Source organism: Homo sapiens, chromosome 5 (assembly GCF_000001405.40).
Source record: "Homo sapiens chromosome 5, GRCh38.p14 Primary Assembly".
NCBI classification, from domain to species: domain Eukaryota; kingdom Metazoa; phylum Chordata; class Mammalia; order Primates; family Hominidae; genus Homo; species Homo sapiens.
This window is the reverse complement of record NC_000005.10, coordinates 173,072,644-173,089,256: the sequence shown is the minus strand read 5'-3', so window position 1 is coordinate 173,089,256 and position 16,613 is coordinate 173,072,644. Positions and strand designations below refer to the sequence as shown.

The 16,613-nt window shown below is 42.3% G+C and overlaps 1 protein-coding gene and 1 pseudogene across 8 annotated transcripts in view, besides 1 other annotated feature; one reads left to right on the top strand and one right to left on the bottom strand.

The window, feature by feature from the left end:
- The window catches only part of CREBRF (CREB3 regulatory factor), an 82,933-nt gene that overhangs the window by 50,028 nt on the left and 16,292 nt on the right, over nucleotides 1-16,613 (bottom strand). For 4 of the 8 annotated variants that reach the window (NM_153607.3, NM_001168394.2, XM_047416801.1 and 1 more), the window contains 2 exons: nucleotides 8,473-8,672; nucleotides 2,631-2,756 (listed from right to left, as the gene is read on the bottom strand). In NM_153607.3, the coding sequence (NP_705835.2) occupies nucleotides 2,631-2,756; nucleotides 8,473-8,481 (135 nt within the window). In that variant the 5' untranslated portion in view covers nucleotides 8,482-8,672. Of the gene's footprint in view, nucleotides 1-2,630; nucleotides 2,757-8,458; nucleotides 8,673-10,564; nucleotides 10,678-16,613 lie in introns of all 8 variants that reach the window. The other 4 variants (XM_047416802.1, XM_005265821.4, NM_001168393.2 and 1 more) reach the window with 4 other exon arrangements.
- CDC42P5 (CDC42 pseudogene 5) lies at nucleotides 2,969-3,541 on the top strand (annotated as a pseudogene).
- Nucleotides 7,642-7,881: a silencer, noted in NCBI's record as "fragment chr5:172508379-172508618 (GRCh37/hg19 assembly coordinates)". NCBI's record gives its function as "represses an EF-1alpha promoter that drives an FKBP-Casp9 reporter gene in an ReSE screen in HepG2 liver carcinoma cells {active_cell/tissue: HepG2}" and the evidence as "EXISTENCE:reporter gene assay evidence [ECO:0000049][PMID:32094911]".

Sequence of the window (16,613 nt, the reverse complement as noted above, 5' to 3'; positions counted from 1 at the left end):
TTTTCTTTAATTTTTGGGGTGTGTGTGTGTGTGTGTGTGTTGTCTGTGTATGGGTTTTTTTTTTTGTTTTTTTTTTTTTTGAGATGGAGTCTCACTCTGTCACCCAGACTGGAGTGCAGTGGCGCGATCTTGGCTCACTGCAACCTCCTCCTCCAGATTTAAGAAATTCTCTGCCTCAGCCTCCTGAATTGCTGAGATTACAGGCACGTGCCACCATGCCCAGCTAATTTTTTTGTATTTTTAGTAGAGATGAGGTTTCACCATCTTGGTCAGGCTGGTCTTGAACTCCTGACCTTGTGATCCACCTGCCTCAGCCTCCCAAAGTGCTGGGATTACAGGCATGACCACTGCGCCCGGCCTGTCTGTGTATGTTTTAACAGCTTTACTGAAGTATAATTTCACATACCATAAAACCAACCTATATTAAGTAGACAATTCAATAATTTTTAGTAGATTTATGCATTTGAGCACTCAGTTTTCCAGTTTTTATATATTTTTGTGTTATTTCAATTTTATGTAATTAAAACTGTTTTTAAAATGTTTTTCTTCTGAATTTTAAGTGTCTATTTACCTCAAGAATAAATGATTAAGTATATGCAGATCCTGTTTGGAATTGTTATTTTTGTGCCACATTCTTTATGTCATTCACATGCCTTGCTCAATGTTTTCCAGCTGAAAAGCCCATTATCTTTATCAAAAACTAGATTTGAAGATATTTAGATAATCTTTTACCATTTTTGATGCATTCATTTTTTTTTTTTTTTTTTGAGACGGGGTCTTGCTCTTGTTGCCCAGGCTGGAGTGCAGTGGTGCAATCTCCGCTCACTGCAACCTCCGTCTCCCAGGTTCAAGCAATTCTCCTGCCTCAGCCTCCTGAGTAGCTGGGATTACAGGCACCCACCACCACACCCAGCTAATTTTAGATTGCGCCATTGCACTCCAGCCTGGGCAACAGGAGCGAAACTCTGTCTCAAAAAAAAAAAAAAAAAAAAAAAAAAAAAGAATGTATTTGATGAAGCAATATTGGCTGCCCTGGAGCCTCCAGAATGGAAGAAGAGCTGCAGGTGTGTGTGGCTATGACCATCTCTCCAGAGCCCTTTCTGCACAGCTGCTGTCGGCATCATACTAAAAGCAATGTTTAAGGCCGGGCACGGTGGCTCACACCTGTAATCCCAGCACTCCGAGGTGGGTGGATCACGAGGTCAGGAGTTCGAGACCAGCCTGACCAATATGGTGAAACCCCATCTCTACTAAAAATACAAAAAATTAGCCGGGTGTGGTGGTGCATGCCTGTAATCCCAGCTACTCGGGAGGCTGAGGCAGGAGAATCGCTTGAGCCTGGGAGGCGGAGGTTGCAGTGAGCCGAGACTGTGCCACTGCACTCCAGCCTGGGCTACAGAGCGAGACTCCGTCCCAAATAAATAGATAAATAAATAAATAAAAGCAATGTTTAAATCAAACTAAAGATTAAAAATTAAAATTCAGGCAGGTGATCCACCCGCCTCGGCCTCTCAAAGTGCTGGGATTACAGGCATGAGCCACCATACCCAGAAGCATCCTTTTTCTTTTTGAGACTCCAGTCTGCCAGACTGGAATGCTATGGGGCGATCTTGGCTCACCACAACCTCTGACTCCCTGGTTCAAGCAATTCTCCTGCCTCAGCCTCCCGAGTAGCTAGGACTACAGGTGCGCACTACCATGCCCAGCTAATTTTTGTATTTTTAGCAGAGACGGAATTTCACCATGTTGGCCAGGATGGTCTCAATCTCCTGACCTCATGATCCGCCCGCCTTGGCCTCCCAAAGTGCTGGGATTACAGGCGTGAGCCACCATGCCCAGCCAACAGCTGCATACTTTTAAAATTACTAGATGTAGGCCAGGTGCGATGGCTCATGCCTGTAATCCCAGCATTTTGGGAAGCCGAGGCGGGCAGATCACCTGAGGTCGGGAGCTCAAGACCTGTCTGGCTGACATGGTGAAACCCCGTCTGCACTAAAAATACAAAAATTAGGCTGGGCGCAGTGACTCATGCCTGTAATCCCAGGACTTTGGGAGGCCGAGGCAGGTGGATAGCCTGAGGTCAGGAGTTCGAGACCAGCCTGGCCAACGTGGTGACACCCTGTCCCTACTAAAAATGCAAAAATTAGCTGGGCATGGTGCCAGGTGGCTGTAATCCCAGCTACTTGGGAGGCTGAGGTAGAAGAATAGCTTAAACCCAGGAGATGGAGGTTGCAGTGAGCCGAGATCGCACCACTGCACTCCAGCCTGGGCAACAGAGCCAGACTCTGTCTCAAAAAAAAAAAAAAAACAAAATTAGTTGGATGTGGTGACACACACCTGTAATCCTAGCTACTTGGGAGGCTGAGGCAGAAGAATCATTTGAACCTGGGAGGTGGAGATTGCAGTGAGCCAAGATCACACCACTGCACTATAGCCTGAGAAACAGAGTGAGACTCCGTCTCAAAAAAATAAAAATAAAAATAAATAAATAAAATTATCCTAGGTATAATCATAAGAATCAAACTTGGCCCAAGCACATCTTTTTTTTTCAGGCATTTATAAACAAAAAACTCTCCCACAAACTTTTACCCCAAATCAATCAAGACCAAAACCAAGAAAATGTTGCTTACCAGTTCATACATGAAATCTGGATCCGAACTGTTTGCTAAGAGATCTGTGCTCATCAGAGTTTGTTCCGAAAAGGTGTGGCTTCGAAAGGCATCCCCGAAAGGCGGATCCATTCCGCTTACACTAGGCTACAACAGAGTGATTTTTATTTTAGAAAGTTAAAGACTACTTTGAGACCAATTTATCACATATGAGCCCCAACCCCACCCCCACTAAGTAACTTATTCTTTTCAGAAAACATTTCTATACTTTTTTTCTACTGTATAGTATATTTAAGAGCTTTGGCTAACACTGAACTGTAGACTTATATTAGGAAAATACCTAAAAATAGAAAAAATAGAGTGCTGCCAATGCCCCAGTGGAGAAGCTGAGGTCAACATCAGATTTGAAATATTTAAAGTGGATACAAAACTATTTCAGCAATGCAGACAATTAAATATGTTGTGGGTGATGGTGCTGTTGGCAAAACATGTCTCCTGATATCCTACACGACAAACAAATTTCCATCGGAATAACGTACTGTTTTTGACAACTATGCAGTCACAGTTATGATTGGTAGAGAACCATACACTCTTGGATTTTTGATACTGCAGGGCAAAGGATTATGACAGATTATGACCGCTGAGTTATCCACAAACAGATGTATTTCTAGTCTGTTTTTCAGTGGTCTCTCCATCTTCATTTGAAAATGTGAAAAAAAGTGGGTGCCTAACTGTCCCAAAGACTCCTTTCTTGCTTGTTGGGACCCAAACTGATCTCAGAGATGACCCCTCTACTATTGAGAAACTTGCCAAGAACAAACAGAAGCCTATCACTCCAGAGACTGCTAAAAAGCTGACCCATGACCTGAAGGCCATCAGGTATGTGGAGTGTTCTACACTCACACAGAAAGGCCTAAAGAATGTATCTGATGGCCGGGTGCGGTGGCTCACGCCTGTAATCCCAGCACTTTGGGAGGCTCAGGTGGGCAGGTCACCTGAGGTCAGGAGTTCAAGACCAGCCTGGCCAAGATGGTGAAGCCCTGTCTCTACTAAAAACACAAAAATTAGCCGGGCGTGCTGGCAGGCACCTGTAATCCCAGCTACTCAGGAGGCTGAGGTAGGAGAATCGCTTGAACCTGGGAGGCGAAGGTTGCAGTAAGCTGAGATCTCGCCATTGCACTCCAGCCTGGGCAACAAGAGCGAAACTCCGTCTCCAAAAAGAAAAAAAAAAAAAGAATGTATTTGACGATACAATATTGGCTGCCCTGGAGCCTCCAGGATCGAAGAAGAGCCGCAGGTGTGTGCTGCTATGAACATCTCTCCAGAGCCCTTTCTGCATAGCTGGTGTTGACATCATACTAAAAGCAGTGTTTAAATCAAACTAAAGATTAAAAATTAAAATTCAGGCTGGGGGCAGTGACTCAAGCCTGTAATCCCAGCATTTTGGGAAGCCAAGGCAGGCGGATCACCTGAGGTCAGGAGTTCGAGACCAGGCTGGCCAATATGGCAAAACCCTGTCTCTACTAAAAATACGAAAATTAGTCAGGTGTGGTGGTACGTACCTGTAATCCCATATATTCAGGAGGCTGAGGCAGGAGAATCGCTTGAACCCAGGAGGTGGAGGCTGCAGTAAGCCGAAATTGTGCCATTGCACTCCAGTCTGGGCAACAAGAGCGAAACTCCATCTCAAAAAATAAAAAATAGGCCAGGCGCAGTGGCTCACACATGTAATCCCAGCACTTTGGGAAGCCAAGGCAGGTGGATCACGAGGTCAGGAGATCGAGACCATCCTGGCTAACACAGTGAAACCCCGTCTCTACTAAAAATACAAAGACAAAATTAGCCGGGTGTGGTGGCGGGCACCTGCAGTCCTAGCTACTCCGGAGACTGAGGCAAGAGAACGGCATGAACCCGGGAGGTGGAGCTTGCAGTGAGCCGAGATCGTGCCACTGCACTCCAGCCTGGGCAACTGAGTGAGACTCTGTCTCAAAAATACATAAATAAAAATAAAAAAGAAAAAAAATCATTTTTGCAATAATGACAAATGCCGCGTACCTACCCACATGCACTTGTGTGGGACAAGGCCCACAGGTATGGTCCCCCCTTCCCCCTCCCAGTACTAGTTAATTTTGAGTAATTGTGTATCGTCAGAAAAGTGATTAGTACCAGTTTTTGTTTTGTTGTTTTAAAACTTTATTATTATTTGTTTAAAAGCAAGGCATGCTTATGGATGACTCTGTAACAAACTAATTGGAATTGTTGAAGCTGTTCCCTGGTTCCACCCTGGAGAGTAATCTGGGACATCTTGGTGTGTTGTTGTTGTTGTTGTTTTTCCTCCTCTTTTTTTGAGGGGAGTGTGCAGTTTGTTTTTCAGTCTTGTTTTTTTAATTCATTAACCAGTAGATAGCCCTTAAGGGGAGGAGGAAGGATCCACTTCCTAGATCTAGTTTAGAAAACATGTTCCCCATCTGGTGCTCTCAGGAAGGAGTATAGTAAATGCCTCATTTAATAACATACTCCTTTTTGAAAGTTGCCTTTTCTTTCCACCCTTGAGTAGATCCAGTATTTGATGAAACTCATGAAAGTGGGTGAAGCCTGTCTTGCCCCTCTGTTTTCTAGGCCACACTGTATGTGACTGTGACTTTCACAGACATCTGTCTGCCATTTGCTGATTTTTTGGGAAGTTAATTTCTAACTTCTTTCACTGATACATGAAGAAAAGTATTGCACCTTTGAAATACACCAAATAAATTGAGTTTGTAATTTAAAAAAATGTTTTCCCTGTCAAAAAAAATTGAAAAAATATAGAGCAGCAATTAATATCTTCTAGAAAGTAAAGCTTATTTAGCCACCAGTCACCATACAGCACCTATCGAGTACTTTCACTTAGCTGTATAACATTTCTTCAAATCCTTGTCTAACAACACTATTTTAACTATCAGTAGAGAATTCCCTGTCTTTTCCTAGGGTCTGCAGATACAGCAAATCACTCTCACTCTGTGCTGCTGAGTCCCATGTCTTATTTTCCAAAGCAAGCTGGAAGACAATTTGGGCATCACTGTCTAGTACAACCAATGCCTGCAGGAAGGTAATGGAAACAGAATCAACTAAATACCCAAAAATCTCCTTGGTAAGACCAGTAACTTGGGCATGAACTCTGTAGCCTTAATCCTGATTCCTGAAAAGGGCACAGTCCATTCCATAATAAGTAAAGGGGAAAAAAAAGACTTGGGACCCAGCATTAATTCTCCTTCTTGTTTTTTCTCTATCTTCTTTTTACATTTTAACATCTATACAAATCCCGCCAGAGTCAAGTCTGGGCTCACCCTCCTAAAGTGGGTCAAATAATAGAAAGGCCTCAATTTGAAATCTAACTGAGATGAAGAAAGAGAATGAGAAAGAATAAAAAATTTCTTTTATTTATTTATTTTTTTTTGGAGAGACAGAGTCTCGCTCTGTTGGCATGATCTCAGCTCACTGCAACCTCCACCTCCAGTGTTCAAGCGATTCTCCTGCCTCAGCTTCCCAAGTAGCTGGGACTACAGGCAGGCACCACCACGTCCAGCTAATTTTTATATTTTTTAGTAGAGATGGGGTTTCACTATATGTTGGCCAGGCTGGTCTAACTCCTGACCTCAAGTGATCAGCCTGTCTCAGCCTCCCAAAGTGCTGGGATTACAGGTGCAAGCCACTGCACCCGGTTTTTTTTTTTTTTTTTTTTTTTTTTTTTTTTTTTTTTGAGACAGAGTCTCGCTCCGTCGCTCAGGCTGGAGTGCAGTGGCGTGATCTTGGCTCACTGCAACCTCCCCCCGCAGGGTTCATGCGATTCTCCCGCCTCAGCCTTCTGAGTAGCTGGGACTACAGGTACGCACCACCACGCCTGGCCTAATTTTTGTATTTTTAGTAGAGACAGGGTTTCACCATGTTGGTCAGGCTGGTTTCAAACTCCTGACCTCAAGTGATCCGCCCACCTTGGCCTCCCAAAGTTCTGGGATTACAGATATGAGCCACTGCCAACTGGCCAAAAATTTCTCTTTTTTAGTATTTTCTTTTTTTTTTTTGCAAGTTTCTGCAGAAATGTTTTTAAATGGTATTAATCTATTTGCTTATTCTTTTCATATACTTTCTATCTTTCACAAACCGGACTTTTCATAGACCCTCTCATCGTATTTTTCTTCATTGGTACATCCCATCTTATTTTTTTTTCTTTCTCTTATCTTCCCCCTACTTTTCCAGCCTGCAGAACCTTTCTTCCTAGAAAAAGTTAGCTTGAGAAAATAAGTTTAAAATTTAAGCCCCAAATTCAAGTACTCAATAAATATAAAACTAAACCTCGGCCAGGCACGGTGGCTCACGCCTGTAATCCCAGCACTTTGGGAGGCCAAGGCGGGTGGATCACGAGGTCAGGAGATCGGGACCATCCTGGCTGACACGGTGAAACCCCGTCTCCACTAAAAATACAAAAAATTAGCCAGGCGTGGTGGCAGGCGCCTGTAGTCCCAGCTACTTGGGAGGCTGAGGCAGGAGAATGGCGTGAACCCGGGAGGTGGAGCTTGCAGTGAGCCAAGATTGCACCACTGCACTCCAGCCTGGGCAACAGAGTGAGACTCCAGCTCAAAAAAAAAAAAAAAAAAAAAAAAAAAACTAAACCTTGAATGGGCAACCACTCTAAAAGGGTATATGCAGTCCATCTGTCACAGAGGTTGGGGTGGCGGTAGGCAGCTGTTCTTTTTTGTTTGTTTTTTGAGACAGAGCTTGCTCTGTCCCCAGGCTGGAGTGCAATGGCATGATCTTTGCACTCCCAGGTTCAAGCAATTCTCCTGTCTCAGCCTCCCAAGTGGCTGGGATTACAGGTGTGTGCCACCACACTCAGCTAGTTTTTGTATTTTTAGTAAAGACAGGGTTTCACAATGTTCGCCAGGCTGGTCTTGATCTCCTGACCTGTGATCCGCCTGTCTCGGCCTCCCAAAGTGCTGGGATTACAGGCGTGAGCCACTGTGCCTAGCCGGCCGCTGGTCTTTTCAATATCTATTACCAAGTCCCCTTTCTTTACCTCTTCTGCCTGTCTCCGAGTCACCAGACAATCCCAGCAAATTGTTGATTCCCTGTGCTCAAGGGATAGCTCAGTATGGCAACACAAAAAGCCACCCAAGAGTCCCTGCCCACTCATTACTTCTAGGTTTCTCCCCAGCACTGAAACAAACAGGGGAGGGGCAAGAGCTAAACACTGGAGAAGAAAAGGAGGAGTTTAGATAAGCAGAATGGGGACTAACAGGGCTTCACTGATTGTCTCACTGATTGCCTAAAACCAAAACTGATCAATTCAGAGTAGCTGCCATAATATAAACAGATACAATCATTCTTAGATATATTTTGTGGGGAGATATTTACATGTGCACACATAGGTATGTGTGTGTGTCTATGAGAAAGAGAGAGATGAGAGGGGTTGGGGGAGGCAGCCTGAAGTCTCTCACTATTTCCTCTTAATTACTTCTAAATTCAGCTAGCATAAATGAAAGGTAAGAATTGGGAAATAGGAATAGTGAGGAGATAGAAACGGGATTGCTGTGGCAGACTAATTTTCAAGGGAGTTGGTTTTGCCCCATAAAGCCAGCAGATCTGTCCACCTTCTACCTATTTATCATACTACCTATGTAGAACTCATTAAACTTCAAGTGATAGCAAAGTAAGAAATAGAAGCCAATGGAAGGAAGAACATGTACTCAAAACTAGCTGAGATCAGAAATGAGATATCACAAAAAGGTAGTATGCAAAGTTGTGTTAAGATTCATTTAAGAGTCAAAGGTATTGACTTTCTGTAGTGGGAAAATAAAAAACTTTGCACCTACTCTGTATGATTTACCTGAGGCATTTCCAAGCCCAGATCCTGTGAATCCGATTCCAAACTTCTTTTTTTTCTTGTTTGTAAATTCCTTTCCAGCTTTACTTTCAATTCCAAGATCGAAGATGATTTCCACAATAAACAGCAGGTTTCCCCAGAGTGCTTCCAATTCAATTGCTTGGATCACTGCTTTTTTTTAAAATAATTCTGTGCGATGCTGTCTGTCAAACAACACAAAGTAACTTCACTGAATTCCAGGAAAAACAAGTTGATGTTTCAAAAAAAAAGTTGACTTTTGAAAAATAATATTAGCAGAGAATACTGTACTTTAAATGAGTAAGTCTTATGGTTGAGTTATCAAGGATTTGGTCATATCTTAATACTTACTATTCTGAAATTTACCATTCCTCCTCTTATATTTTTCTAAAATAGAGCTGGTCAATAACCAATTGGCAACATTAAAAAAAAAAAACACAAAATTAACATAGGCTTATTTTTTCTGTGATCTGAAAGATGTAATATATTGATTTTTAAAGTCAAGCTCTCATTCATTTTATGTTCTTTATGAGAAAACATATCTCAAAATTTAATTCCATCTATTGTATAATCATTACTGCTAAATTAATCTACATTTTATCTCTCTCATAAGTCAACAGAAGAGTAATGAATACATAATAGTCAGCAATGGAACTTAACATATCCTCTACATTAAATAAAATCACATTTGTAATGGTATATGCCAACATTATTCTTTCAGTTATAAGTATAAGCTCTCATTGAAGAAAGAATCATTCCAGCAAGTTTTTAACAGGTGTATGTTTGAGGGAAAACGGGCCTGAGGACTGCTTTGCAGAGTGGTTTCAAGGGTTAAGTAAAACAATGACTACAAATCATCTGGCACAGGATTTTGACAGGGTACAGACTTAAATGTTAGTGTTTTTTCCCTTCTCCATGAAGACTTTAACCAGGAGGAACTAAACAGTTATACTCGCTTCATTTTCCTGTCCAAGATCAGTGGGTCTCAAAGTATGATCCAAGGATCAGCAGTACTACATCAGCAACAACCTAAAAATTTGTTTAAAATGAAGAATCAAAACAGAACCTCTAGGAGTGGGTACCAGCAATGTTTTTTAATACGCCCTCCAGGTGATTGTGGTCCTCTCTAAAGTTTGAGAACCACTGTCCTATCCTTGATCTAATTCAGTCCAGAAGCAGTGTCACTTCTTATATTGGTAAACAGTCAATTTACACTGAATTTGCCTTCTGAAGTCAGCACATTGTCTGGGCTAGAGGGTTACAGTGGTACATTGTATTAATTTCCTTTTTTTTTTTTTTTTTTAAAAAAGACAGAGTCTCACTCTGTCACCCAGGCTGGAATGCAGTGGCCCAATCTTGGCTCACTGCAACCTCAACCTCCTGGGTTCCAGTGATTCTCCTGCCTCAGCCTCCCAAGTAGCTGAGATTACAGGCAAGCAACACCACACCCAGGGACTCAATCATTGTTCTACTTAATTAGATTAATAAACTGACTATAATTCACATTTTCTGGATCTTTGCTGCACTCTCCCCTCCAGTGGGCTGTCGTTCCCAGCTCACTGGTCTAACCTAGGAAACAATGTCAAGTGCCCACCTAGAAACAGTTAACTATGCTTTTCAATTCAGTGCTACAGTATAACTAGATTGCTCCCTGTTCCTGCCAAAGGCCTGTTCTTGTGCAGTCTCTCCTTATGTGACCTCATGCCGTCGTCCTACAACTGGTATGTAGTCATAATCATTGCCCTAATTCTCTCCCCTGATTCCTATGAGAAAGAAGGTCAGTCACTTTTTCTAGACCTATGACTTAGGCCTCCCTAAAGGCATCTAATTCAAGTCATGTGTTCAATAAAGTGGATCAGTATAATCTTGGCATAAAACCTGGATTTGGGAGAAAAGTTTGATACCCTTTAAAATCTGAAAAATTAACCTTACTAGCAATAGGGTCGGCTGGGCGCAGTGGCTCACACCTGTAACCCCAGCACTTTGGGAGGCTAAGGCAGGTGGATCACTTGAGGTCAGGAGTTCAAGACCAGCCTGGCCAACATGGCAAAACTCCATCTCTACTAAAAATACTCACCAGCACTTTGGGAGGCTGAGGCAGGAGAATGGTGTGAACCCGGGAGGCAGAGTTTGCAGTGAGCCGAGATCGCACCACTGCTCTCCAGCCTGGGCCACAGAGCAAGACCCCGTCTCAAAAAAAAAAAAAGAAAAAGAAAAACTTCACATCAAGAAATATATAAACCTCTTTGTAAATGAGAGTATTTTACGAATAATAAATATATATTTATTATACATTAATAATAATAAATACATAAACCTTTTTGTAAATGAGAGTATTTTATGAATAAGGAGATGTTGTATATGATGGCCAGAATCCCTGCAGCTCTTGTTTTATATGGAACTGGCTTAAGCCCCCTTTTAGTAACTTAAGGAAACTGGTTCCTCACAACAGTAAGTAGCTCTTCCGAATCATCTAACATTCATCACAGTAAATGTTAAAACATTTTTGACACACCAATTAAGATGAGTATTATCCAAAAAGTGGAAAATAACAAATATTGGCAAGGATATAGAGAAATCAGAGCCCTTGTGCATTTGCTGGTAGGATTGCAGCTGGTGTGGGAAACGGTTTGGTATTTCTTCAAAAAGCGAAATCCAATTACCATATGATCTAGCAATTCCACTCCTAGGTATATACCTAAAAGAGTTAAAAGCAGGGCCTCAAACAGATATGTCTACACTTATGTTCATGGCAGCATTATGCACAAAAGCCAAAAGGTAAACACAACTCAAGTGTCCACAAACAGATGAATGGATCAACAAAATATGGCAAATACAACAGAATATTATTCAGCCATGAAAATGAATGAAATCCTGATACACACTACAACAAGAATGAACCTTAAAAACATTATGGTAAGTAAAATAGACACAAAAGGACAAATATTATATGATTAGGCTTTATGAGGTGCTTAGAACAGAGAAAGAGAGTAAAATGGAGGTTACTAAGGGCTGGGATAGTTTTTATTTAATAAGTGTACATAGTTTCTGTTTGGGATGATAAAAGTGTTCTGGAGGCTGGGGGTGGTAGCTCACACCTGTAATCCCAGCACTTTTGAGAGGCTGAGGCAGGTGGGTCACTTGAGGTCAGGAATTCAAGACCAGCCTGGCCAACATGGTGAAACCCTGTCTCTACTAAAAATACAAAAATTAGCCAGGCATGGTGGCTCACGGCTGTAGTCCCAGCTACTTGGGAGGCTGAGGCAGGAGAATCGCTTGAACCTGGGAGGCAGAGGCTGCAGTAAGCTGAGATCATGCCACTGCAGTAAGCCTGGGCAACAGAGTGAAACTCGGTCTCAAAAAAAAGTGTTCAGGAATAGACAGTGGTGATGGTTACACAACACTTCTCAATGTACTTAATGCCATAAAATTGTACAGCTAAAGATGATTAAAATAGTAAATTTTATGTATATTTTACCACAAAAAATTTTTTTTACGTTTTTTAGGTAAGAAATGCCTGAATACAGGCCAGGCACAGTGGCCCATCCTGTAATTCTAGCACTTTGGGAAGCCAAGGCAGGCGAATTAGTCGAGTTCAGGAGTTCGAGACTAGCCTGGCCAATATGGTGAAACCCCGTCTCTACTAAAAATACAAAAAATTAGCTGGACATGGTGGCGGGCGCCTGTAATCCCAGTTACTTAGGAGGCTGAGGCAGGAGAATCGCTTGAACCTGGGAGGCAGAGGTTATAGTGAGCCGAGATTGTGCCACTGCACTGTAGCCTGGGCTACAGAGTGAGACACTGTCTCAAAAAAAAAAAAAAGCCAATAAATTTATACTGCTATGTAGTTAATATACTATGGTCTACTTTGATCCTTCCTAATCTTTGCTGGTTCATGCTCATTTCTTTCATGTGACCAGAGGTCTTGTTCCTCTCTCTGTTGTCTTTAAACTGTTCCAGATCCACAATTCTAAGAGGCAGAAACTGTTCTAAACACTCTCTTTTTTTTTTTTTTTTTTTGAGACTGACTGTGTCCCCCAGGCTGGAATGCAGTGGTGCAATCTCAGCTCACTGCAACCTCCACCTCCTGGATTCAAGCGATTGCTGTGCCTCAGCCTCCTGAGTAGCTGGGATTACAGGCATGCAGCACCACCACGCCTGGCTAATTTTTTTGTATTTTTAGTAAAGACCGGTTTTCACCATGTTGGCCAGGCTGGTCTCAAACTCCTGACCTCAGGTGATCCACCCATCTTGTCCTCCTAAAGTGTTGGGATTACAGGTGCGAGACACTGATGCCTGGCCATGACCTCTAATTTAAATAAATCATTTCTCCTAAGACTTAATCCTCAGTAAAGTTGAAAGAGGAAGAAAGGAAAGAAAGGAAGACAGGCAAGGAAGATGCTACGGTTTGAATGTCCCCTCCAAAACATGTTTGAAATTTAAATGCCATCCTAACAGTATTGGAAGGTGGACCCTTTAAGAGGTAGGTATCAATGACATTATCACTGGACACAGGAGTGGGCTCTTGATAGAAAAAATGAATTCAGCTCAACTTCCTCTGTCTCACGTGCTCTCATCCTCTCACCTTTTACTATGGGATGACCCTCAACAGATGCCAGTGTCATGTTCTTGGACTTTCCAGTCTTCAGAATCATGAGCCAAATAAATCTCTTTTCTTTTACTTAATTACTTTTTTTTTTTTTTTTTTTTTTGTAGAGATGGGGTCTTATTATGTTGCCCAGGTTGGTCTCGAATTCATGGGCTCAAGCGATCCTCCTGCCTCGGCCTCCCAAAATGCTGGGATTTGAAGCATAAGCCACCACGCCCAGCGATAAATCTCTTTTCTTTAAAATTATCCATTATCCAATCTGTGGTTACAGCAACAGAAAATAGACTAAGACAAGAGGTAAAGGAAAGGAGGCAGGGAAGTAGGCAGGAGGGCAGGAAAGAATGAAGGAAAGGGAAACGAAGAGAGGCAGGGGAAGGAAGGGGTGTGGACAGGGAGGTGGGAAAGGAAGGGAAGTGAGGAAGGGAGGCAAGGAGGCAACGAAACAGGGAGGCAGGAAGGACAGGCAACCTCGGTGACTGAAAAGCTTATACAATGTGTATACCCCACGTGACTCCCTTGTTTGGCAAGAAAGACAACTTATCAGATGGCCCAAGCTCTTTAGCAAACTAGGACCCATCTGCCTCATATTCTATCCATCCTGCTATACTTCATAGGTCCCACTCAACAATTCCTTTCCTTTCCTTTTGAAAACTACTCTACTCTGCAAGAGTAGAACAAAACAGTCCTTCAGATGCTTACTAAGTCAAGCCACTACCTGTTTCACGGTACAGTTGAAATCAGACATCCCAAAGTCTCCAAAACATTTAAGCAGCAGAGGTTGCCTATGCAAGGAATACACTGGGGGAAAGGTGGGGCTCAAGTTCTCCCTTTATTATGTAATATGAAACCTGTAACCAAAACTGCAGGTGAATCACTATATTTTACCCTTTGATAGCAGTTCTCTAGACTCCAAAATTTAGAAACAGGCAAGTAAAATTCAAAACAGATTATTATAGTTTGTCATGATTATTAGCAAAACATGCCCATTATTTATTTTCCAAATTCTGCTGCTGCTAGTCTTTAAGGAAGGACAATGGGAAAAGAGGAAAGTAAGGAAGAAAGTGTATCTTTTCCCTCAGATTGGGTGAAAAAAGATCATTTTCCTAGCCAAAGCAGTACTTATAATGACCTTGTAAGAATCTGTGATCCTTTTGCCATACCACCTTGCAAACTCTGTATACCTGATCAATGTAATAGTCTTTTATCCTCACATTCGGAGAGTTTTTAAAATATGGGAGGTGGCCAGGCACGGTGGCTCATGCCTGTAATCCCAACACTTTGGGAGGATGAGGCAGGCAGATCACGTGAGGTCAGGAGTTCGAGACCAGCCTGGCCAACATGGCGAAACCCCCTCTACTAAAAATACAAAAATTAGCCAGGCGTGGTGGTGCACACTTGCCGTCCCAGCTACTTGGGCAGCTGAGACAGGAGAATCACTTGAACCCCAGAGGTGGAGGTTGCAGTGAGCTGAGATCATGCCACTGCATTCCAGCCTGGGCAACAGAGTGAGACTCTGTCTCAAAAAATAAAAAAATAAAAATAAATAAAAATTTTAAAAAATAAAAAATAAAATATGGGAGGTGAATTAGGTCTGCCACAAAAAATGTAATTAAACAAAATAAAACCACCTTTTACTGAAAATCTTAAAAAGCAAAGAGGATATACTAAATCTCAAAAGTGATCTCTTCTTAGAATGCCATGTTAGAGGAAGACAGAAGAACTCTCAGTTACAATTTTGTTCAATTCCTTTCCAAAGGCTCCTATCCAACTTTAATCTTTGGGTTACAGGGACAACATATGGGAGCTTAGTCAAAGCTCTTTGGGAACCAATAAGGAAGAAGCCTTTTTTTTTTTTTTTTGAGACAGACTTTCACTCTTGTTGCCTAGGCTGGAGTGCAATGGTGTGATCTCAGCTCACTGCAACCTCCACCTCCAGGGTTCAAGCCATTCTCCTGCCTCAGCCTCCCAAGTAGTGGGATTACAGGCATGTGCCACAACACCCGGCTAATTTTGTATTTTTAGTAGAGGTGGGTTTTCACCATGTTGGTCACGTTGGTCTCAAACTCCTGAACTCCGGTGATCTACCCGCCTCAGCCTCCCAAAGGGATGGGATTGCAGGCATGAGCCACCGCAACCGGCCAAAAAGAAAACTATTTATTTATTTATTTATTTATTTATTTTTATTTTTTATTTTTTAGACGGAGTCTCGCTCTGTCACCAGGCTGGAGCGCAGTGGCGCAATCTCGGCTCACTACAACCTCCGCCTCCCAGGTTCAAGCAATTCTCCTGCCTCAGCTTCCCGAGTAGCTGGGACTACAGGCGCCCACCACCACGCCCAGCTAATTTTTTGTATCTTTAGTAGAGACGGTGTTTCACCATATTAGCCAGGATGGTCTCGATCTCCTGACCTCGTGATCCGCCCGCCTCGGCCTCCCAAAGTGCTGGGATTACAGGCGTAAGCCACTGCGCCCGGCCCTAAAAAGACTATTAAAGCAAGTTTCTGGATTAATCTGAGTTGAATGGGAAGGACTACTTTTTATTTCTGAAAACTATCAATTGCAAGGTATTGGAGGCTTTCTGCAGCCTTGGTATCTGTCAATTAAGTTGTTCAGAGCACAAGAATAAGAGCATGGAACAATTTTAGACAGAACCAGAGAATGCATTTCTAATCCCAGCCAACTTTGATTACCACTGGGGACAAAATATTCAGTTTGTATGTATCTGTGTAGCTGTTTACAGATTAAAGTACATTTCTAAACCCTGTCATTTAATAAAACAACTTGGTGAAGTAACAAGGACCAGTATTTTGATAAAACATCTAGGTAATATAGTCTTGGTATCAGGATAACCACTATCCCCCAGTCCCTGTCCAACCCTTTTTACATCAATAAATAAAAAGTACAGCAAGGGTAAGAGATTTGTCCAAGGTCATTCAGTAAATGGATGCCTCCAAGCAAACCTATTGTTACAAAGACTATCTCTACTCTTTGGGCCTCAGAGATCATTTCTAAAAGACTCGCAAATCTACATTTTGAACCTAAACATGTGCATGCGTGAGCTCTATCATCTGAGATGTGGATATCTCCATGTTCACATTCCATCACTGCAGATACAACATGCCATCTCCCCATCCAAACATTCCTATTCTGTCAATACTATCACTCTCTGACTTTCAGGGATAGAAGGCTGATTTCAGCCTTCACTCTTTAAATTCTCCTCCCCTACTCATTTTGTTGAATCATACCAATTCTTTTTAACAAAGATGTACAGATCACTTACCTTGTACTGAGCACAAATGCATCTGTTTGACTTTGCCCTTCCCTCTTTTTCAACCCTTACTTGGTCCTCATCATCTTATATTTACCATTCTAATATTTACCCTACAGTCTTCCTGTCTCTATCCTCCTCTCCCTCTCTTGAGTTCTTATGCCCCATTTTAAAATTATTCTTATGCCAATAATCCTAGCACTTTGGGAAGCCGAGGCAGGAGGATTAATTGAGGCCAGGAGTTTGAGAC